At 39.1% G+C, this 23,303-nt stretch overlaps 1 protein-coding gene across 1 annotated transcript in view; it reads right to left on the minus strand.

The window, feature by feature from the left end:
- The window catches only part of F5 (coagulation factor V), a 74,531-nt gene that overhangs the window by 27,475 nt on the left and 23,753 nt on the right, over positions 1–23,303 (minus strand). Inside the window, exons 4-13 of the mRNA NM_000130.5 lie at positions 21,129–21,341; positions 19,728–19,871; positions 17,221–17,442; positions 15,757–15,922; positions 13,132–13,309; positions 11,215–11,314; positions 10,376–10,590; positions 7,017–7,167; positions 4,871–5,083; positions 869–3,689 (exon numbers count right to left, since the gene is read on the minus strand). Of these exons, the coding sequence (NP_000121.2) occupies positions 869–3,689; positions 4,871–5,083; positions 7,017–7,167; positions 10,376–10,590; positions 11,215–11,314; positions 13,132–13,309; positions 15,757–15,922; positions 17,221–17,442; positions 19,728–19,871; positions 21,129–21,341 (4,423 nt within the window). The remainder of the gene's footprint in view (positions 1–868; positions 3,690–4,870; positions 5,084–7,016; positions 7,168–10,375; positions 10,591–11,214; positions 11,315–13,131; positions 13,310–15,756; positions 15,923–17,220; positions 17,443–19,727; positions 19,872–21,128; positions 21,342–23,303) is intronic.

Genomic DNA, 23,303 nt, shown 5'->3' on the forward strand with positions numbered 1-23,303 from the left:
CTCACTCCCTCGGGGCCTTGCTTAGAAATACTCAGGTAGCTAGTTGTTCTCATGTGGTATTGAGTGCAACATTTAAATAGGAAGTCATAGGAAAAGGTGTTTTAAACAGAGTTCTAATGTGGAGATGTCAGGCATCAGATTAATGAACTCATATGCATAAGTCACACCATACATTGTGTTTGCCTACTGTAATTACACTTTGGTTTTTTAAGTGATTAGTGTAACAGCTTTAGTAAAAGCTGTGGGCATATCTAGACAGCTGATGCACAGTCATCATGCTATATCCCTGAGAATTTGTAGTTGACTAAGCCTTGCTCCTTTCCTCCTCTCTCTTCTCTTTCTGTATCTTCATCCCAGAACAAAGAGCCCAGTTCAACATGGCTTTCTACCCCTAAGCAAAACTGAATTGTAAATATTCTTTTAAAAAAGGGATTTGGATCTCTTAGAAATTCTGATCTAAACAAGTAAATGCAAAAAGGAGATTTCTACATCATATTTGAGTTTGGATTTGAGGCTAACTTCAATTAAATCATATTGATTAGCATATAGCTATGGATAGGTTGGGCTCTGCCTGGAGCAATAAGAGTCAGTAGAAACATGGGTAGTAAGAGGAGAGGACACAGAAAAATGCTTAATTACAGAATATTATAGAGTTCTCACAGTGATTGTTCTTATATTGTCCAGGGGTCATCTAAGGTAAAGAAGCAATCTTGGAATTGACAAAGGAAAAAGAACAGGCCAACTTGCAATAGGGGAACCACACTGTTCTTAGTATAATTTGCCCACAATTATCCCCCTGAATTGTAGTAGCTACTTTTTTCAGCAGTAATGGAAAAATGAGAATAAAAAAGGAGAAAACTGGCCAAACCTTTGTACAAATTCTGAATAATCCCAGGATATTTCTTCAGCAGCAATGTAATAATTTCTTCTGTTTCCATTGTTGCTGCGGAGGTACCATGCTGCAATGTTGTCAGGATCTCTGGAGGAGTTGATGTTTGTCCTAACATCAGTTTTGTAGGGGTCATCATAGGGCACATAATCAATTTCAGCATAGTCATCTTCACTGCTCTGGACCTCTTCCTTTGGAATGATCTCAATGTAATCTGTACCATCTTTACTGAGGCCCACTATAACCAGTGGATTAAATTCCTTTGATAGAAAAGTATCATTGAGAGTAGGAGATGAAGGAGATGGCATCTGACCAAGGTCTGGATAAGGAAAAGACTCATTAAATTCTTGAAGAAGCAATGACTGACTAGATTCAGAAGGGTAGAATATCTGATCAAGGTCTGGAGGAGGTGATATCTGGCTGAGATCCGGGAGAAGGGTGGTGTCACTGATGTCTGGAGAGAGAGTCACCTGGCTGAGGTCTGGGGAAAGGGACATCTGACCAAAGTTTGGGGAAAGATCTGTCTCACCAAGGTCTGGAGAAAGTGTCATCTGGTCGAGGTCTGGGGTAAGGGGAATTTGACTGAGATCTGCAAAGAGGGGCATCTCACTGAGGTCTGGGGAAAGGTTTGTCTGACTGAGTTCTGGAGAGAGGTTTGTCTGGCTGAGGTCTAGAGAAAGGGTTGTATGGCTGGGGTCTGGAGAAAGGGGCATCTGACCGAGGGCTGGGGAAAGGTTTGTTTGACTGAGTTCTGGAGAGAGGTTTGTCTGGCTGAAGTCTAGAGAAAGGGTTGTATGGCTGAGGTCTGGAGAAATGGGCATCTGACCGAGGGCTGGGGAAAGGTTTGTCTGACTGAGTTCTGGAGAGAGAGTCATATGGCTGAGTTCTGGAGAGAGGTTTGTCTGGCTGAAGTCTAGAGAAAGGGTTGTATGGCTGAGGTCTGGAGAAAGGGGCATCTGACCGAGGGCTGGAGAAAGGTTTGTCTGACTGAGTTCTGGAGAGAGGTTTGTCTGGCTGAGGTCTAAAGAAAGGGTTGTATGGCTGAGGTCTGGAGAAAGGGTTGTATGGCTGAGGTCTGGAGAAATGGGCATCTGACCGAGGGCTGGGGAAAGGTTTCTCTGAATGAGTTCTGGAGAGAGAGTCGTGTGGCTGAGGTCTGGAGAGAGGTTTGTCTGGCTGAGTTCTGGAGAGAGGGTCACCTGGCTGAGGTCTGGAGAGATGACTGTCTGCCAGACTTCATGTTCTGAGGAAGGGGACATTTGACTTATATCTGTGGGGAAGGACTTGTGACTTCGGTCATACTCAAGCATTTCACTGAGCTCTGGAGAAGAGGATCTGTGACTGGGGTCTGAAGTAGAGTGCATTTGATCAGGGTCTTGAATGGGGAATGTTTGATAGTGTTCCTCTGGGGGCACTGTCTGATAAAGACCTGGAGGACAGCTTGCCTGACCAGTGTCATTTGAGGAATTCTGATTATGGTCAGGAAGTGAGGCTATCCAGCCAAAATCCATAGAGGGCAATGTCTGATTGAGGTCTGTGGGAAGAGATGTTTCATTGGATTTATGAAGCACCAACGAATGCTTAAGTCTTCTTTCTGAAAATGTGTTGTAGGCTTCACTTCTTAGAGGGTGAAAGGTCCTCGGAGATAAAGGAGCATGGTGTGTGTGCTTCTCTTTTTTCTTTTTTCGTGTCTTAATGAGAAACTGGCTTTTCTTCAGTCTACTCTTTCCTCCATCCTGTCTTACTTGTAGAGATTTATGTCTAACTCTAGGAAACTTTGGGTGGCCACTCTGCTTTCCAGGCTTGTTGGCAAGAGGGGTGCTTTCTCCCCAAGCACGTGAGGCATTCTGGGGGCTGATCAGCCAATTGTTAACAGCTGTGTCTTCATCAGTATCTTGGATTATTTCATAGCTACCTTTCTCAGAAGCCAAATGCCATCTCCCAACCAAAATCTTAGATGAGTTACTTTGTTTTAAGAGTAACAGATCACTAGGAGGGTCCTTCCAGGGCCTCATTCTGGAAGGAGAACCAGTGTCTTGGCTAGGAAGGTCCTCCCAGGGCCTCATTCCGGAAGGAGAACCAGTGTCTTGGCTTAGGTGTCTCCCAACTTTATGTGCTAGTAATTTCATCCAGGAGAACCTGTGCTTTGCTGCTTGATCTCTTTCTACCTTGGGTCCCTTATGCTTAGCATGTTCTTGACTTTTGAATTCTCCAGCACCAAGTGAAAGTAGACGTATCCCTGTGACATCTGGCTGTAGAGGATCCTCTATAGGGTCTTCAGAATATGGGCTGGAATGCTCTGCTGTGGAAGAATTGAGAACTGAGTTCTTGCCAATGAGGTGTCTCAGTGGGGAACCAGCTGTGGTGGCTTGTTGGTGAGAAGGGGCTTTCTGAGGTTCTGCAAGGTTATTGACAGTGAACTTACTAATATTACTTGGGGAAGAATAATTTGAACCAACAATTATATCTGTGTTTGAAGAAACGAATTCAGTGCCATTCTCCAGAGCTAGGGCAGTAAGATTGAACTCTTCTTCTTCCTGATTCAATGATGAGTTTCGGAATGACCTGATTCCTAATGCTGCAGCCAGTCTGTTCTGGTAATCATAGTCAGCATCACTCTCTTCATCTTCAGGTTCTAAACGATCATGCATTTTCCGTGTAGCCATGACTGTAGATTCTGGAGGTTCAAAAATCTCATATGAGTCTTCATCATCATCTGGGATACATTTAACATCCCTGAATTTCAGCCTCAGCTTTTTGCTTCTTGGACTAGAATTCATGGAAGTTAACATCCAAGTTCCTACAGAAGAGAGACAGACAGAAGAGAGATCTGGAAGTCTGGGAAAAGACATGAAAACACAATAATCCATTGTGGCAGGTAATTTCTAATAAACTTTCGTCAGGAATATTCAAGTATGGGCTGTGGACCACTGCTTGTCTGTGACCTATTGATTACTGGGTCAAAATAACACAAGGAGAGAAAAATGAGAATGAAATATTTAGTAAACTTTTGTTTTTCTAAAGCAATTTGACATTGCTGTGACTCTAAGCACATGACCAGTGCGTTCATCTCGCTTAACAGAATAAAAAACAAAAGTGTTGCTTAGTGGAGATTAGAGGGGAAAAAAGGTCTTTCAGCACAGATAGTTGCTCACTATTTTAAAATATATTAAGAAAGGGATGAATCAAGAATAAAATGGACTTTTAATATCATAAATATCCTAACAGCACATCTTGTCTTAGAATTAAAGGGATGGTGATGAGCTCTATCCCCACAAATAAGAGACATTTAGATGTTTCTAAGTAATAATTCACGAGGACAATTTTGAATCTCTGAAATGGCATGCATTGCTGGAACATCAAAGATTTCTTGGTGAGTCTCCAATAGTTACCATTGTTGGTGTCTACTGAGTGCTAGGCACTTGGCGCATATTACTATTTTAATGGTCAAAGTAACTCTGTGAGATGTGATTACACTGTTTTCCAGATAAATGACTTGTGGCTCAGTGTGGCCAAGTAACTTGTGTAAGGTTACACAGCAATCGATTGGCAGATCAGGACTTGCATTCCAGTCTGACAAACTCCAAAGCTGTTGCTGAAGCAGCCTTTAAGGCACTGTACCTGATGATTGAAGATGACTGTTGCAAAAAACCGAATAGGGCATTTTGATAAAAGAAATGCTCTTTTGTGGCCAAAATATTTATGCTTCTTCCTCAGAGTTATGCCTTATTTTTCTGCTGTTGTATATTTTTACTTCCTACTTTGCCCAGAGAAGGAAAAATATAACCCACACTAAAGAACTGGATCCATTTAAGTCATTAATTTCTCAAAGAGAAATCATGAGAAACATTGAAAGAAAAGCCTGCAGGGGGTCAGGGAGATACATAGAGGAGCACTGGTAGCCTGGAGAGTTGCAGCAGACCTTTATAGACCAGAAATTCAAAGCAAGCTTCCTCTGTGAGTGTCCAGACTCTTACTCACCAACATTATCCATTGTGACCGTCACAGATTCTCCACGCATGGGGAAGAGGGTCAAGGTGTCCTCATGCCTCTTTCCATAGATGAATGAGTGCCCAGTGAAGTGGATGGTCAAAATTTCATTCTGGGTCCCCACACTACAGAAGTGCCACTGGACAGTGTCATCAAAGCAGAATCCAAGAGTAGTTATGCTCTCAGGCACATAGCCATTGATAGCTGAAAGTGTAAAATCTGTTAAAATTCCAAGTCTATGCCAACAAAAGGGCATGTGTCTAATTATACCTAAGATAAATGTCTCCATGTTAATTTGGTTGTGTCAAAGCAGTGATTATCCAAGATAAGCTTTATCTAGTCTAACATGTGACTAGAAGATCAAACTCAGAATTTTCAAATGAGAGATTATTCTCCTAAATTAGCCAAAGGAGAAATCTCAGGAAAAAGATAAAGCCTTCCATTTACATTGATTTAGTCATTCATCAAATGTATAGTAAATATTTTGTGCTCCATTCTCTGCCTTTAAAGATATTCTAATAATTCCACTTGGAGGAAAAGCATAATATAAGAAATTCATCTTTTTGATATATTAGTCATTGGGTAAGAAGTAATGTCCCTAAAAATAAAGCCCATTTAGCATATTTTATAGTTTTTATTGCTGTCTTATAATCTACATAGTATTCACAGTTTCCATTTGAGTATCCAGTTCATACATTTCATTATTGTTAAAAGGGACACTGCTGTAGGCAATATTTTTATTTACTTATGTACTAAGCATAGTAAAAAACCAAAGGTATGATTTCTACAAGGGCAGGGCTCATGTCTACCTCGATTACCACTCTTAGCCTTAGTACCAGTATAATGACTGGCATTAACAAATATTTAAATACCTACTTAAATCACTTAAGTGACTTTAATAATTTACATGATGTATTATTAGTTTATACCTCATTCTAGATGTTTTTCTAAATGGTCTATAACTGCATTGTTCAATATGGTAGCCACTGGCTACAAGTGGTTATCGAGCACTTGAAATATGGGTAGACTGGACTGAGATATGCTGTGAGTATAAAATATACATTGAATTTCAAAGACTTAGTAATAAAGTAAGTCTCATTAATTTTTATATTGGTTACATGTTGAAATGATAATATTCAGGATATACTGAGTTAAGTAAAACATATTACTAAAATTAATGTCACCTATTTCTCTTTACTTTTTAATGTTGCTATCAGAAAATTTTAAATTACGCATGTAGCTCATACGTAGTTTCTATTGGACAGCACTGGTCTAGAACTATGATAGATTCACTGCCAAAAGGAAGTTATGCAAAGAAAGCTGAGAGTAATTTTCTGTTTGAATTATTTGACCTGGCACCTGTCAGCTCTGATAATCCCTAGCTGTCAGTCATCTGAAGCTATATGAACAGAACATGCAGAAATCATCCTCACATGTGTGATTACCTACTAGAGAAGGTGATTACCATGACTCTAGACTCTGAGGATCAGTAGGGGGACCCTGGCTGTTGTGGAGAAGTTTGCTTCCAGCTGGCTCAGTGACATTTCTCTCAGACTGCCATGGCAGTGCTTTTGGCCACTGAACTTTAGAACTGCAGCAAATGCCGGAACCCTCATTCAGGGAATTCCTTTTGTTCTGAAAATCTTACTGATCACTTGAAATGTCTTCATGCATGCCTTTCCAAGACTCTTGGGTCCCTATACTCATTTTGCTCTACTTTGATGTGTCAATCCATCTTTGGATTACTTGCCTTCTTTCTGTCCTAGCCATATATTCACCCTGAACTCAGTCTAGGATACTATTGACATGGACTATAACACCTTCCATTAGTCCTACTCTCTCACCCTTTTCCTCACCACGCAGAGTATGTCTGTGTACACACACACACACACACACACACACACGCTTGGAATAGAAGATCAAACGCATTTCTAAGGATGTGAGCCTTTGACCTCTTGCTTAAAAATGTTGCTATGATGTCACCCACGGATTTCATCACCAAGTCTTTGGACTGGAAGTGAGGATTGGAGGTGCCCCTTAGCGAGTAGATTTTAATCCATGTCTCTGACTCTAGGCACAGTCATATTTCAACCACAGGAATGAAAAACTGATGAACAAAAATAGTACTCTGACTTACTGCTCATGATGTTTGATTCATAAAACTTGGGGTCATCACGTTTCACCTCATCAGGATTTTCACAAAACTTGTTGATGTTGTCCTCAAGGTACCAGCTTTTGTTCTCATCAAACACAGCAAACACAGCCTGCTGTTCGATGTCTGCTGCCCTCTGGAGGACAAAACAGTATAGTACTGGTACAAGAACAGACGCATAGACCAATGGAACAGAATAGAGAACTCAGAAATAAGGCTGCGCACCTACAACTATCTGATCTGTGACAAAAGCAAGCAATAGGGAAAGGATTCTCTATTCCATAAATGGTTCTGGGAAAACTGGCTAGCCGTAGGCAGAAAATTGAAACTGGACCCCTTTCTTACATCATATACAAAAATTAACTCAAGATGGATTAAAGACTTAAATGTAGGCCTGGCGCGGTGGCTCACGCCTGTAATACCAGCACTTTGGGAGGCCAAGGCGGGTGGATCACCTGAGGTCAGGAGTTGAAGACCAGTCTGGTCAACATGGCAAAACCCGTCTCTACTAAAAAAAAAAAAAAAAAGAAAAGAAAAGAAAAGAAAAGAAAATTAGCCAGGCATCGTGGCTTATGCCTGTAATCCCAGCTACTCGGGAGGCCGAGGGGCCGAGGCAGGAGAATCACCTGAACATGGGAGGCAGAGGTTGCAGTGAGCTGAGATCGTACCACTGCACTCCAGCCTGGGCAACAGAACGAGACTCCATCTCAAAAATAACAGAAACAAACAAACAAAAAACAACAACAACACACTTAAACGTAAAACCCCAAACTACAAAAACCCTGGAAGACAACCTAGGCAATATTATTTGGGACATAGGGATGGGCAAAGCTTTCATGACGAACATGCCAAAAGCAATAGCAACAAAAGCAAAAATTGTCAAATGGGATTTAATTGAAATAAAGAGCTCCTGCACAGCAAAAGAAACTATCAAGAGAGTAAACAGACAACATTCAGAATGGGAGAAAATTTTTGCAAACTATGCATCTGGCAAAGGTCTAATATGGAGCATTTATAAGGAACTTAAATTTACAAGAAAAAAACAAACAGCCCCATTAAAAAGTAGGCCAAGGACAGGAACAGACACTTTTCAAAAGAAGACACACATGTGGCCAAAGAGCATATGAAAAAAACGCTCAACATCACTGATCATTAGAGAAATGCAAATCAAAACCACAATGAGATACCATCTCGCACCAATAAGAATGGCTATTATTAAAAAGTCAAAAACTAACAGATGTTGGCAAGGTTGTGGAGAAAAAGGAACACTTATACACTCTTGGTGGGAGTGTAAATTAGTTCAACCATTGTGGAAGATACCATGGTGAGTCCTCAAAGACCTAAAGTCAGAAATACCTTTGAACCCAGCAATTCCATTACTTGGTATGTACCCAAAGGAATATAAATCATTCTGTTATAAAGACACATGCATGCGTATGTTCATTTTCGCACTCTTCACAATAGCAAAGACATGAAATCAACCCAAATGCCCATCAATGACAGACTGGATGAAGAAAATATGGTACATATACACCATAGAATACTATGTGACCATCAAAAAGAACAAGATTATGTCCTTTGCAGGGACATGGATGGAGCTGGAGGCCATTATTCTAAGCAAGTTAACGCAAGAACAGAAAACCACATACTGCATGTTTTCACTTACAAGTGAAAGCTAAATTATGAGAACACATGGACACATAGAAGGGAACAATACATACTGGGGCCTATCAGAGGATGGAGGGTGGAAAGAGGGAGAGGATCAGAAAAAATAACTAATGGATACTAGGCTTAATACCTGGGTGATGAAGTAGTAAGTACAACAGACCTCCATGACACATGTTTACCTATGTAACAAACCTGCACATCCTGCACATAAGTACCCCTGAACTTAAGAGTAAAAAAAAAAGAAAAAAAAGTGCTGTATTCAGTCATTAACATTGCAGCAAATTATCTACACCACTGAGTTCTCAGAAACCAAAGTGACATAGTTCTTGGAACTACTGAAGCCATATAATTCAGGCATTTATGAGAGTCCATTGTGTACACAGCACTTGTTAGAGCTAAAGGTAATATGCAAAAGCAAACAGAACAGATAAGAAAATTCAGAGATTAAAATATCCCAAAAGAGCCGGGCACAGTGGCTCACACCTGTAATACCAGCACTTTGGGAGGCTGAGGCAGGTGGAACACCTTAGGTCAGGAGTTCGAGACCAGCCTAGCCAACATGGTGAAACCCTGTCTCTACTAAAAAATACAAAAATTACATGGGGGTGGTGGCGGGCGCCTGTAATCCCAGCTACTCAAGAGACTGAGGCAGGAGAATCACTTGAACCCAGGAGGCAGAGGTTGCAGTGATCTAAAATGGTGCCACTGCTCTCCAGCCTGGGTGACAGAGTGAGACTCTGTCTCAAAAGAAAAAAAAAAAAAAAACAAATCCCAAAAGAAAAATCTCATTTCGCTATGGCAGCTGAAAGTCTGTCTATCTCTGTAATTGCACACCTTTCAACATGAATGATTGACTGAATATGCTCTGAATAAGTGCAAAGGATGAAAGAGAAGGTTGCAATAGAAAAGCCTTATGCTTCTACTACCTGTTTCCTTTCCTAGCTCAATAAATCAGGATCTTCCATATGTCCAGAAATTCATTTCTGCTTTTTCTAGGCATATGTTTATTTTGTATGCCTTGAGATAAGACCTCTTTGGTTACAGTTTAGCATAATTGGGAATTTTAGTTTAATAATATGAGACTACAATTCTTCAATGAAGACAAACTCAGAAATTCAGTATCTTTGTTCACATTCTTCTGTATACTTTAGTCTCAACAGAGATGGGCCATAATCTGGGTCCAATTTCACTAGGAACTATGTCTCTAAATTTGGTTGCTTTCAGAGAATCTCTCCTCTGTCTCCCTATTGCAGGTCTCTAAAAATAGCAAAGACTGGTAAAGAGCTTTATACTTTTACCAGATGGTATCTCACTGAACCCCCAAACAGACCTGTAACATTTTTAGGAGGGTTATTACCCATTTGATAAAAGGAAGAAATTAGGAAAGGCTAATCAACTTGCTCAACACATCCAATACCAACAGACCTGGAATTTGAAACTAAGACAAAATATGTTATCACACTCTAGACTTGCCTTCGGCAGTGATGGTACTGATAAAAATAGACAAGACAAAAAAAAAAAAAGAATAAATGTTATCACACTGGTGCTAAAAAGGACTACTTGACAATTACTGTTCTCTTGAAGGAAATGCCCCATTATTTAGCCAGGAGACCTAACATGTTCTAGCCAGAAGAAATTCTCAGAATTTCTGAAAGGTTACTTCAAGGACAAAATACCTGTATTCCTCGCCTGTCCAGGGATCTGCTCTTACAGATTAGAAGTAGTCCTATTAGCCCAGAGGCGATGTCTCTCATGATGTCCACGTCACTGTAGTATGGTCTTGTTAAGCACTGGGCATCATTTTCTGTGGGTTCATCAAACTCTAAGATGTTCCACTTATAAGTATAGGTTTCCCCTGGTTGAACTGCTCTGATCATGGTGTTGTTCCTGCCTGAAAGAAAATATATTCAAAATTGTTTTCATTTGCAAAGTTATTTCATGATAATAAATAAATAAATAAGCTTTCGCTGGAACCAATTAATATTGCAAAAGGAATTCTTTTATTTTTATTTTTTTTAAATTATACTTTAAGTTCTAGGGTACATGTGCACAACGTGCAGGTTTGTTACATATGTATACATGTGTCATGTTGGTGTGCTGCACCCATTAACTTGTCATTAACATTAGGTATATCTCCTAATGCTATCCCTCCCCCCGCCCCCCACCCCCCCCCCCCGACAGGCCCCGGTGTGTGATGTTCCCCATCCTGTGTCTAAATGTTCTCATTGTTCAATTGAATTCTTTAAATATTCTACTTGGAACCTGGATAACATGTAGCCATTAGATAATGCTCCACTAGAGGCCACTATGACACTAATAAAAGACACCATATTTTGTTACCACTAAGAGACAAAACTCCTGAAGTGAGAAGGGTTTGGCTGTGATTTTTAGGATACTCCTACATGTATACTACCTGACTGCAGTAGTGACACCACCGGGCAAGGAGAATAGCAGAAAAATGTGGCAGCCTCTCAGAAGTTACTAGTTGGATTCAGTAGAAGTGAAAGATTCAAACCTGAGGTGAAAGAAGAGTTGACTTCATCTTCATAAGGCGAGAAGGTCACTCCATGAGGGTAAATGCTATAGGGGCGGCTGGCCATATTTTTGAACACGATCTACAAAGTTAAATCAAATTTATTCTAGGATTTAAGGTTGATCATGACAAATAATATAAGATACTAGCTTTGCATATTCACCTTTTGGATGGTGTGTGTGTATACATGTGTACACACAGTAGGAAAATTAGATCTGTTTATCTGAGCAGTAACCTCCCCTCATCACTTGGCAGGAGCATTGGAGAGAGTGTTTCACTCACACATTAAGGTGGAAAATGGAAAGAGAAGTCTGACTTTAGAGGATAGGTTAGGAGAAGTGACGTTTTCCTCACAGTATCACTCTCTCCAAGCAAGTCCTCCTTCCCCTGCCCTTCTCTTTTCAGCTTGGGCCACATCTCATTTTGAATCTGCTTCTCATCTCTAGACCATGATCCCCTTCCCCTGCCCGGTAGATTTTTTAGGACACTGTCTTTGAAGTCATCTTCTCAGCTAGGTTCAGTGGCTCAAACCTGTAACCCCAGCACTTTGGGAGGCTGAAGCAGGTGGATCACTTGAGCTCAGGAGTTCAAGACCAGCCTGGGCAACATGGTGAAACCTCATCTCTACAAAAAAATACAAAAATTAGCCAGGCGTTGGGGCGTGTGCCTGTAGTCCCAGCTACTTGAGAGGCTGAGGTGCGAGAATCGCCTGAGCCCAGGAAGTGGAGGTTGCAGTGAGCCATGATCACACCACTGCACTCCAGCCTGGGTGACAGAGTAAGACCCTTGGTGGGGGGGAAAAGCTACTTGCTTGAGAGGCACAGACAAATAGCCAGATCCTGAACTTTTAATAAGGTATGTCTACACTTGCTGAGAGCACATAAAAGGGATCAGAAATGGAAGAAGGGAAAGAGGCATGGAGAAAAAAAACTGCTTTTGTCCTTTGGCTATTTTAAATGAACAGAATAGACCTTGTCAGGTGCATAAAACACACAGGAGTCCTAGTTAGGCTCTTTAATCTGCAAAAGAGAACCTTAATCCTATCTTCTATTTGGTTGATTGTCAAAGCCTTTGGATCATCCTTTGTCTGTAGATTAACTACACTCTAGGATTTTGTCAAAGATTGCAACCTTTAATTCTCTGCTGTCCAATTCTTATCTATCTTGGTGAAGTGACATGACATTTAAGGAGAATTGTCTGAGGAAAACTCCGTGCTCTTGATACATGGAGTTTACCTTCATCAGAGTCCAACCATTAGAGAGCTGCATACCTAGACTACATTAAAAAATGAGTAAAAATTGTTTCTATTCAATTGTGTTTACTGTTATATCTTAGCTATAATGAGAAATATTTTAATGCAACTTTTAATCTATTATTTTATGCAACTTTTAATCTATTATGCTGGTTATAAGAATTTTATCAAGGATGCCATCTACTGTATCACTCAGCACTCTCTTTTGTAGAACTCATTAAAGAAGTTCCTCTTAGATCTTAACATCAGGATAAATGGTGCTTTCTTTTTGTAGATGATGTAAACTTCACCCTGACATATTTCCTTTTTTACACTGACTGCCATAAAGCTTAGGACAAAATTTGAAGACAGCCTTACAGGGTCACATGGTATCTACTTATCTGTGGCTTTATTTTCTTTGTCCCCGTATTCTATCCCAATTACATAGACTCCTTGTTTTATGCCTTTATAACTTGAGAAACTGTCTCAGATCCTTTGTATTACTGAGTAAGCTGTAAATAAATACAAATACTAAATAAAAACTAAAAGTTGCATTTGAATTTAAAATTATATGAGCATCTTTTTCTTTTAAAATTAAAAAATAACCAGGTACTCCATAATATTTTACTATGTAATTTCTCCCATGATTCTGTATTTGTGTTACTTACTTTGAGTGTGTCTCTGACCTGGGCTCTGATAATAGGACCCAAAATCCCATCTTCTTTCATATTGGGATTCACTGTATGTTTGGTGAAGGACTCATCTTCGTACTGTGTGTACATAACTTTCTTATAATGTTTTCCAATTTGGTTTGAGAAATTATCCAAATGCTGAGACCTGTATTTTCTTAAAGTGAAGTAAAAAAAAATTAAACCACTTTCTCAAATAGAGATCTCGGTAGGATGGGGAAACCCTTGTGCTTAAACATTCTGCTCTTAGATTAGCTAACATACTAGTTCTCTAAAAATTTCTTAGTGTAGTTTGCAAAGTCCTTATGTTTTCTGTCTAGTTGGAAAACTGGAAACTTCTGATTTGTCTCCTGCATCACTGATAAAAGTCATAGGTAACTGGTTAGAAGCAGCTACTTAGATCTTCCTGTCATTCTTATTGCTACAGCAGACATTTGATATCTCTGGGAAAAGGCCTATACTGGCTGAAAAGATACTAGGAATTTTTCTAAAGTCTGTCCTATCACTTATTCTATGATAGCCTTTTTGGTTTTAAAGGTATTTCTTAATCCCTAAAAGCAACTTCCAACCCCAGGAAACATTTACTAGCATTGTTAATCATAGTTCTGTGCTATTGGGCTATCTCTTCCACCATCTAGCCAATTCTCTGAGCTGACTGAAAAGCAACCTCCTTCACCCATCTTTTGTAGCTACTGGGATAAATACTTTGGGAGCAGAAACATGAACCACTTTTCCCCTGCCCTCTTTATTACCTTAGTTTGCAAAAGCAACTACATGCGGCCAAAAAGCACATTTTAAAAAGCTCAACATCAGTGTTCATGAGAGAAATGCAAATCAAAACCACAATGAGGCCGGGCGCGGTGGCTCACGCCTGTACTCTCAGCACTTTGGGAGGCCGAGGCGGGCAAATCACGAGGTCAGGAGATCGAGACCATCCTGGCTAACACGGTGAAACCCCATCTCTACTAAAAATACAAAAAATTATATTTTTTGTATTTTGTATTTGTGTTGGCGGGCCCCTGTAGTCTCAGCTACTCGGGAGGCTGAGGCAGGAGAATGGCGTGAGCCTGGGAGGCGGAGCTTGCAGTGAGCAGAGATTGCGCCACTGCACTCCAGCCTGGGCGACAGAGCGAGACTCCGTCTCAAAAAAAGAAAGAAAAACGCAATGAGATGCCCTCTCATGCCAGTCAGAATGGCGATGATTGAAAAGTCAAGAAAGAAGAGATGCTGGCAAGGTCATGGAGAGAAAGGAACACTTATACACTCTTGGTGGAATGTAAATTAATTCAGCCATTGTGGAAGACAGTATGGCAGTTCCTCCAAGACCTAAAGTCAGAAATATCATTTAACCCAGCAATCTTTTAAGATGGAATATCATTTTATGAATTTATTTTTCCCAGTGGAAAGCACTGACTGTTGCCAAACACTCCTGGATTCCTATCTCAGTTCTGTCAACAATTCTATAATCTTGGCCAAATTTTTTTTGTTCTTTTTCCTAGTTTAATTGTTTTTAATAGAAAATACATTCACATAATTTTTATTACAGTGAAAACTCTCACTTTTCTCTGATGACTCTCAAAATGACCTCCCTACCCTCCCTGAATTTTCTAGGTAGCCATATATTAATTTCATGCGTGTAATTCCAGAATACCTTTATGTCTTACAAATAAGAAAATATAAATATTCTTATCCCTTTCACTCCTTTAACAAAAGGCAGCTATGTATACACGCTATACTACATCCCAGCTTTTTAATTTAATAACATATCTTGGAGAACTTTTTGTATTAGTACATACAGAGTGTTTGCATCCTCTTTTTTTGATGCTTAGTATTCCATTGTATGAATGTATCCTAATTTATTAAACTAGTTTTCTACTGATGGACATTTTGGGTTGTTTCCAGTCTTACTACTACTAACGTTGCAACAGTGAATATGTTGTACATACATCATTTCACCTGTGAACAAGTGTATCTGTATAGTTAGATTTCCAGAGTGAGATAGCTGAGTCAAAGGGTATATGCATTTAGAATTTTGATACATATTGCCAAGTTATTCTTCAGAATCCTTTTACCAATTTAATCTTCCACGAACAATATATGATAGTTCTTTTTTCTCACAGCCTTGTCAACAGATGATGTCATCTGGACTTGTGAATGTGATAGATAAAAGTAGTATTCCCATGAAGTTTAATTTGCATTTCTGTTATTATGAGTGAATTTGAGTAACTTTTCAAGGGTTTAAGAGCTATTTGAATTTCCAAATCTCTTAATCTCTCAGACCCATTTCCTCATCTATAAAAAGAAATAAGAGCAGTATCTAGTTTGTAGAGTTGAAGCGAAGCTCTCAGAAAGGGACAATACAGTGCTTGGCAATGGCAAACATTCAACAAAAGGTAGCTGCTGTTGTCATTTTTATTATTATTAGGCTGAATTTCTTTGGTGATTTGGGGGTAATTCAAGATTAATTTTTACAAAAAGACTTGAATAGAAACCAATACATGTGTCCCCTTGAGAGCTGTGAACTTACATTTCACCCCAAACATCTAGGACCCTATGGAATGTGTCTTGAACCTTTGCCCAGTGGTATGAACCCCAACAACTCACTTGTCCATATTCGCTGGTATTACAGGTGCATAGTCCCAAATGACTTCCTCTGCAGCAATGAAGTATTCCCACCTCTTCATGTGCCGCCTCTGCTCACGAGTTATTTTCTTAAGATTCCTGGTTTTCTTTGGGCAGTTTTTAATGTCAATGTAAGCCTGCATCCCAGCTGAGTTAGGACAGAAAGACAATGAAATAACTCAAGAGAAGAAATTATGGTTGATTGAAATGCATATCCTTTAAATCAACTTGTGGAAGGTTTATATTAATATAATAAGAGTGAAAGTAATGCTCAGGCAATTTTTGAACATTTTAGTTTGGAACTCTTTAAGTGGCATCCAGAAAAGGCAAGAATTTTAAAAGGGGGAAAAGGAGGAGGGGTTAGGGAAAAAATTTGGAAAGATTCCCTTTATTTCTTCTTGAGCAGGCAAATTTCTAATAATTTTTAACTTCTTAAGACCTTATGAATTAAGTCTTGTTAAATTCTCATTTTTCTGTCATCTGTCCCTTAATCTATAAAATGAAGTAGCACCAGTACCTAATAAAATTGTTGTTAAAAATTAAATATTAATAACAATACATAATGCACTTATCCTCAACAAAGAAACAAAAGTTACATTGTTGTTTTAATATTATTGGGAACTCTATCTTCCACGGATATCATGATGGTTTTATTACTTCAAATATAATTTTGACTACTCGTGTGAAAAGAAACAGAAATGATCTCATGAAGTATCTCTTCCTTATATGTGTTGCTTATACATTATTTTGGTAACAAAATGATTTCCTATTGTGATATCATTTCCTTAGATTTTAGTCTCCATTTATATGAACTCTAATCTCAACAGTTTTAAAGCAAAAATGTGTAGTAGAACAATCAGTTATTTTGTTTACACGATACCACATAACGTGGGTTGATTTATTTTCCCACCTGAATTCCCCAGTGTTCTTTGGAGCTCACCCCTCAGTATATGCCATGTATGATCCATTCAACACACATTCATTGAGTTCCTCTCTGTGCTAGACTTTGTGTTCATCCCACTGTAAAGGTTAATGTTTTCATGCTAAACTTTTACACTTTCTACAACTTAGTGCTTCTGTAAATTTGCAGTTTGTCTTGTGCTAGCATCTAGGTCTTTTTTGCATATGAAGTAACCCGAAGAAAGAATATCTCTATGTATGCATTTGTTTTCTTCCTCTTTTCTTCTTTCGAGGAAGTTAGAGATCTCTTTAGCTTTTGCTTAATTAAAAAAAAAAAAAAAACCTTTGCCAATTCCTTCGCTTTCTCCATCCCCAAAGAGCAAGTTATAAATCTAAGAGCAAAATATCTAAGTTTGGTTGTTAGGAACTGAGGAAAGTTTGTCTGCGGTGCAGGTGGCTTGAAAGGGCAAGGGAGAAAGAGGGAGTTAGTGCATGGGAAGAAAGGATTCTGCATTGAGAAGCAAGACTGTCAGGAGAGTTTCTTGCCTTGCAAATGTTTTGGGGTGAGAGAAGATATGATCCACTTTCCCTCTGGGCCCACAGTCATATTTGCGGTAGTGGATGTAGCACTGACAAGGGTGATGGCTGAGACCTTATGATGGTTCTGCTCCAGGACCTGGCCGTTGAAATGAATGGAGAATAATTCTGGCCCCGAGCTCATTCCCAGCAGATGCCAGCTGATGTGGTCATGGGCACAAACTGTTATATCTGAGAAAGAGGGAGAGACACAGGCCAAAATAAGCATTCAGTCAAGTACTCTGTGATCAAACATTCACTCACCAAGTGTATTGAGCACCTGCTGTGTGTCAGGCATTGTATAAAGCTTTGAGGGAACAGACACTCCAGTTGTAGTTTGTGCCCTGCAAAAGCAGACATCTGAGTGACCAGCAAACAAGCAGTGACAACTCATTGTGATAAATGGCATTATACAGGTAACAACAGAGCTTAGAGATGGTGGATGTGAACTCAAAAACACAGGGATTGCTAAAGGATTAGGCCAAGAAGGGAACCAAGAAGGTAACCGACTGTTCTGGTCTGAGGGGTTTCCCAAGATTCAGGACTTTAACTATTAGAACTGGTAAAAAGTCCACGGCAAAATGGAATGTTTGGTCACCCCAGTCTGATCTCAGCTGGAGGGAGTCAAATCACCAGAACCGCCAATAGGGCTGAGTTCAAGCACTTAATCCTCTCAGCTCTCTAGCTGTAGTGGTCGAAGCTCTGCCTAAGGGAAGAAGATGTGAAGATGATATGAGGATTTTCAATTGTTATTTTTACTTACTTTTTGATTGTTTTAATGACAAGTCAACGAAATCACTTTGGGGTTACACACTCTCCTTAAAATGCAGTGTACAAGTCCTCATTATGCTGAGCCATTGGGAGCTTTTCATGGAAGGAGTAGTGATAACTGAATATAAAAACTTAGTTTTGCTCCTTCTTTGCTCCTACAGTCACTGGGAAAATGCTCATTTGCTCTGTGGGGAGACTCCATCCTTGGCTTTTAGGTTTCTGTTTTACATCTCAGATACATAATCACTAGATACTAGATAATGGGCCTGAGAATCAGTTCCTTACCCACACAAAGGCTTGTTTTTTTTAGGAGACCATTGCAACAAAGCCAGGATTCCTTGCATCACTAGGAGGCTTTGGTGGAAGCGTTTATCCATGCCAAAGAAATGCTTATATTGAGTTCAGCAATTAACATATCTGTGTTAGCATTTATCATATGTATTCAATTTATTCTGCTTTATAAGGCAGAGGGTTTTTACAAATGTTTACTATTCTTAGTTTCTACTGATGGTCTTTCCCTACCTTGTCCCATTTACCCCCAATTATTCTTTTGGGAACTATAAATTCGTAAACTCTAAGCTCAGATCAATTTATTTTTATTTTTGTGCATATGGTTTTGCTTTTCTTGGCATCCATATACTTATACAGATTGTTCACTCTGCCAGGAAATAGATGTTAGGATAAATGGTTAGTCCACTTTTGTAAGTAAGCACATTGAGACAACTAATTTATCCAGGGCCACAGAAGGTAGTCTGATAATCTGAAGTCTGAACTCAGATTATCTAAGGTCGAGGTCAGTTAACTAAGCCCCAGTTTTTACAAGCTCCTAGTATTGGAACTTGGGATCAACATTGAGAGTCATATGAGTATATTTTCAGAAAACCAAGTGGAAAATGTAGTCAAATGAAATAGAATACAATTTAAAAACACTACCCAGATCTCAACTCTTAACAATATTTGTGTTTTAGTAAGTGAAGCTATTTGTGATTTTCAGATGGCATTAGAGAATAACCTCTAAGAAGTTTAGTGTTTTGAAATATGGTTTATTTAGTAAAGTGGCATTTTAATTTTTTAATGTTTTTCCCTCAGGCTAGTATCATATACCCTGGATCTTTAGTTGTAGGTCAGTTCTACCAGAGAGAAATAGAAGAGATGTGGTCTAAGTGGGAATTAGTTATTTTTTCTCTTAACGATTGCTATGATTTTGCCTTCTCATAAGTGCCCAAATGCAAATGGAAAGAGAAAATATTCTAGATGCCACTGAATATTACTCTTCTGTCACCTTTTGAAATGCTGGTTTTTTTTGTGTGTTGAGGATTACTCCTAATCTGTTCATCTTTACTGCAATCTTCCTGCTGATCCTTCCTGCTAGGGCTTGTCCTTGAAGAAGCCATGGTCATCATATAGAGGAACTGCAGAACTCGGAGAGAGTGGCTGAGCTGATACCTTAAGGTCTTATTCAAAGTACAGGCCAAGGTGAAACCTACTCAGGTCACTATACCTAACAAGGCTGCACATTTCTTCTCTAGCTTCTAATTTGTCTCTTCTATTTCCTGTTTAAAAAAAAAAAGAGAAAATATTTCCTTCTTGATAGGGAGTTGCAAAACAGTGAGTATGGTCAACTTCTCTAGTGCTTTGAAGAAAACAGGACCGAAAAATTACTAATGATTTTACTGTTGTTTAATGGTACACAGCCCTCGTGTTACCTGGCATTGTCCCATTCACATATCCATTGACTGTGTACATTAGGGATGATGACTGGCTCCAGCTCTTGCTTTCATCAAACACAGCAAATAGTAGCACGATTTGCTTGTCAAACGTCTTCTGTGTCCCACCCTCAGTTAGGGTCCCTATGAAAGGAAAGACATGTTTTCAGTAGCACTGCAGATAGAAGACGCTCATTAGCTTTCCTGGATAGCAAAGAGTTTAGGGCAAGCAATCAACCATAATGATTTCAACTTGAAGAAATTCTTATTTTTTAAAATAGCATATTTATCAAGTAATAATGGTTCTAGGGTTATTTAAAATCTGGTGCCACACTGTCTTCTTTGATACCTTCTTGCTTTGGGGAACAGGCTTTATTTCATCCAGCTTGGGAAGAAAACATTTGGTGACTCTCAAGACTCTGTACAAGTATCCATTTCCCCCAGTCTCAATAGAAGAGTATATAGATACGTTAGCTCAGTTGGTAAAAGCATCATGCCCCAAGTTTAATGCTGTCATCTTATTTGTATATGAAAGGGGGCATTAGATAATTGGGTGGAAGTATCAGCATTAATCCATTCTCACTATGAGAAAAACATGCTGCTGATGGTAAAATGCAAGAAGAGTCTTTTGTAAGTTTTAAGGTTTTTTTCAGTACCATCACAGTATCTTATATATACCAGGAAATGGAAAAAAAGTCTTTGTATAATGAGTAAATACATTGGGCATGTATGTAGGTATGGCCTGAGCGTGTATGTATAGGCAGATGGTGAGTCCATCACGTTATTTCCCATGCTGTGGCTCACTGTGGTTGTTTGTTTTAATGAAAGATGGGCTGGATTCTCATGGGATAAAATGAAAATCCAAGCTTGCTCCTAAGAAGCCCAGCCAATAAAAGTTCTTGTAAAGTCACTTGAGTGTGTTTGAAACCTACCACCCAAAGTTTTCAACTTGTTTGTAAGAAAGGAAGCTGGCATTTCACGTGTTTATAGAGCAAATTACCAGCCCAAACCTCAGATATGTCAAACATGTTAGCCAAAGTTCTTTCCAAGAGCTCTTTCAGCAGAGTATAGGCTACTGTATACTTTCTAAAAGACTTTGGCCTTGAGGTAAATGTTACAGATCATACAAGCATGACATCAGAACATACTCTCAAACAGGAATTTGCCTGGGAGAACCTTAAGGACTGAGATGAAGGAGGAATGAGAAGAAACAGAGGTGGATCCACACCCTGAAATAGCAGGTGTTTTTTTCTCTTGTCAAACAATGATCTGGTCTCCGTGCCGTCTTCCTCTGCTTGATGTACAAGAAGTTACCAAGATGCTCCCAAGCTTTGTCCCATGACAGAACTCCTGACCATTCCAACATTTAGTTGTTGAATCTTTTGGTGGGGGTGTTCTTACCTTTTTTACAGATAAGCAGGGGCCCAATCAGCCCCGAGTTGAAATCCTCGATCAGATTTTCATGGGAGTAATAGATGTGTGTGAGGCATGGAGGGTCATCATGGGTGGGTCCACTGTCCTCACTGATACTCCATTCATAGGTGTATTCTCGGCCTGGAGCCACAGCGTCGTCCATCTTCTCCGCAGGGAATGTGTGGTCAAGGTAAGAAGCACCTGGAGGAGTAACAGCCATCAAGACATGTGGGCAGTTTCTGAGGATTGCGTTTTCACCACTCTCAAATCTGGGGATAGCTAAGATGAGTTCTCTGGAGATGCATATGTCCTTCAATAGTGAACTTTTATTATTTGGAAAGATTCACATATGCCCATTTCTATGCTCATGTACTTACAAAGGCTTTGATAACATGGTGATCTTAAGAATAACAAATGTTATTTGTAAATTAAAGTTTAGCAAGTTAATTTTCCAGGGTACCTGAACAATTATTATTTAAATATAATCAGAGAATTGAATCGCCTTTGATTAGTAAACCATCTCAGAATATAAGAATGGGTGATATCTTCTTTGTGGTGTTTAATAAGACATACTTAGCCTATTAACATGAGATGGGAGGATAGTCAGAGCTGTTTATGTATTATTTTGTTTTGCTATTTCAGATCTTCTTTCCAACTGCTGTGATCCTCAGCTTTGTTTTATCTCTTTATTTCATCTTAGCCATCTGATTATCTCAATTTTTTCCCCCGAGCCACAGCGTCTAACTCCCCTATGCAGGCTGGTTGTCTGTATGAATATGAAATGTGTCCATCCCCTGAAACTTAGATGTCTTACTTTGTACTTTGTGCACCCAAAGACACATCATTAACACCTCCATGTATATTGGACTTTCCCTACTGATAGGAGAGGGAGAGGATGAAGAAATTGGTCTTCTTTATTGAAGAGAAGGAACTGAGATACTCAATATTAAAAGAAGTGTAGAGGGTTGGGTGAGGTTTTCAATAATAAAATGGAGCAAGTGAGGTCAGGAAGGGGAGAGGTGAGTGCCATAGAGAGCCAAGTGGAATGAACAGTTTCCTCTGCCTGAGGAATTCCTCATTTAATTAGGTGAAAGATTCCCTATCATCAGCTGGTGACAGAATTTCTCTTTGGGATGCAGTTATTTTTGTTTGGTACAATAACTTGATAAATTCTTTACGAGAAGAAGGTGAGAACATCAGTGTGGATGTAGGCAGACAACAAGGATCTGGGGAAAAAAGCCTGAAATGTTTTACATGATGGGGTAAAAGGCCAATAAAACTCCTCTTACTGAAGCAACTACACTTTTTGAAAACTGAAATGATTAATCCTTTCCCTCCCCTTCCTTTCTCTTCCCTTTCTTTTCTTTTTCCTTTCCTAGTTTCTTTTCTTTTCTCCTTTCTTCCTTTCTTTGTCTTCTTCCTTCCCTATTCCCCACCCTCCTTCCCTCTCTTTCTTCCTTTCATTATCCTCATTGAGGTATAATTTGCATATAATAACATTTACCACTTTTAAGTATAATATTTGCTGAGCTTTGATTAAAACAATTACCCAGTCTTATAGCTATAGTTCCAATCAAGATAGAGAAGAGTTCCATCATTCCAAAACATTTCTTCATGCCATTTGTAGCCAATGCCCTCTGGGCCCAGACAACCACTAATCTGCTTTATTTCACTATAATTTGGCTTTTCTGTAATGTCATATCAATGGAATCATCATTACACACCCTTTTGTGTTGGATTAGTGTTAGCTGGTATGGTATATAATTTTCTATCCTTTATTTTTTACCTATCTTTGTCTCTCTCATTAAAGTGGATTTCTTAAATTCTGCATACAGTTTAGCATTGCTTTTTTATTCAATCTTATTTGTTTCTTAATTGTAGTGTTCTTTCCATTTACTTTTAATGTAATTGATGATATGGTTGAATTTAAAACTGCCATCTTTATATTTATTTTCTATTTGTCTATCTGGTCTTTATTCCTTTTCCCCTTCCTTTCTGTTTTCTTTTGGATTGAGTATAGTTAGTGATGTTTAATCTCCATTGTTGCCTTCTTAGCTTTGTTTTCTTAGTGGTGCCCTTCCGTTTACAATATATAGTACATTTTTAACTTGTCACAAACTTCCTTCAAATAATATTATACTATTTCACTTGTAAGAACCTTGC

The sequence above is a fragment of the Homo sapiens genome, chromosome 1 (assembly GCF_000001405.40).
Source record: "Homo sapiens chromosome 1, GRCh38.p14 Primary Assembly".
NCBI lineage: Eukaryota > Metazoa > Chordata > Mammalia > Primates > Hominidae > Homo > Homo sapiens.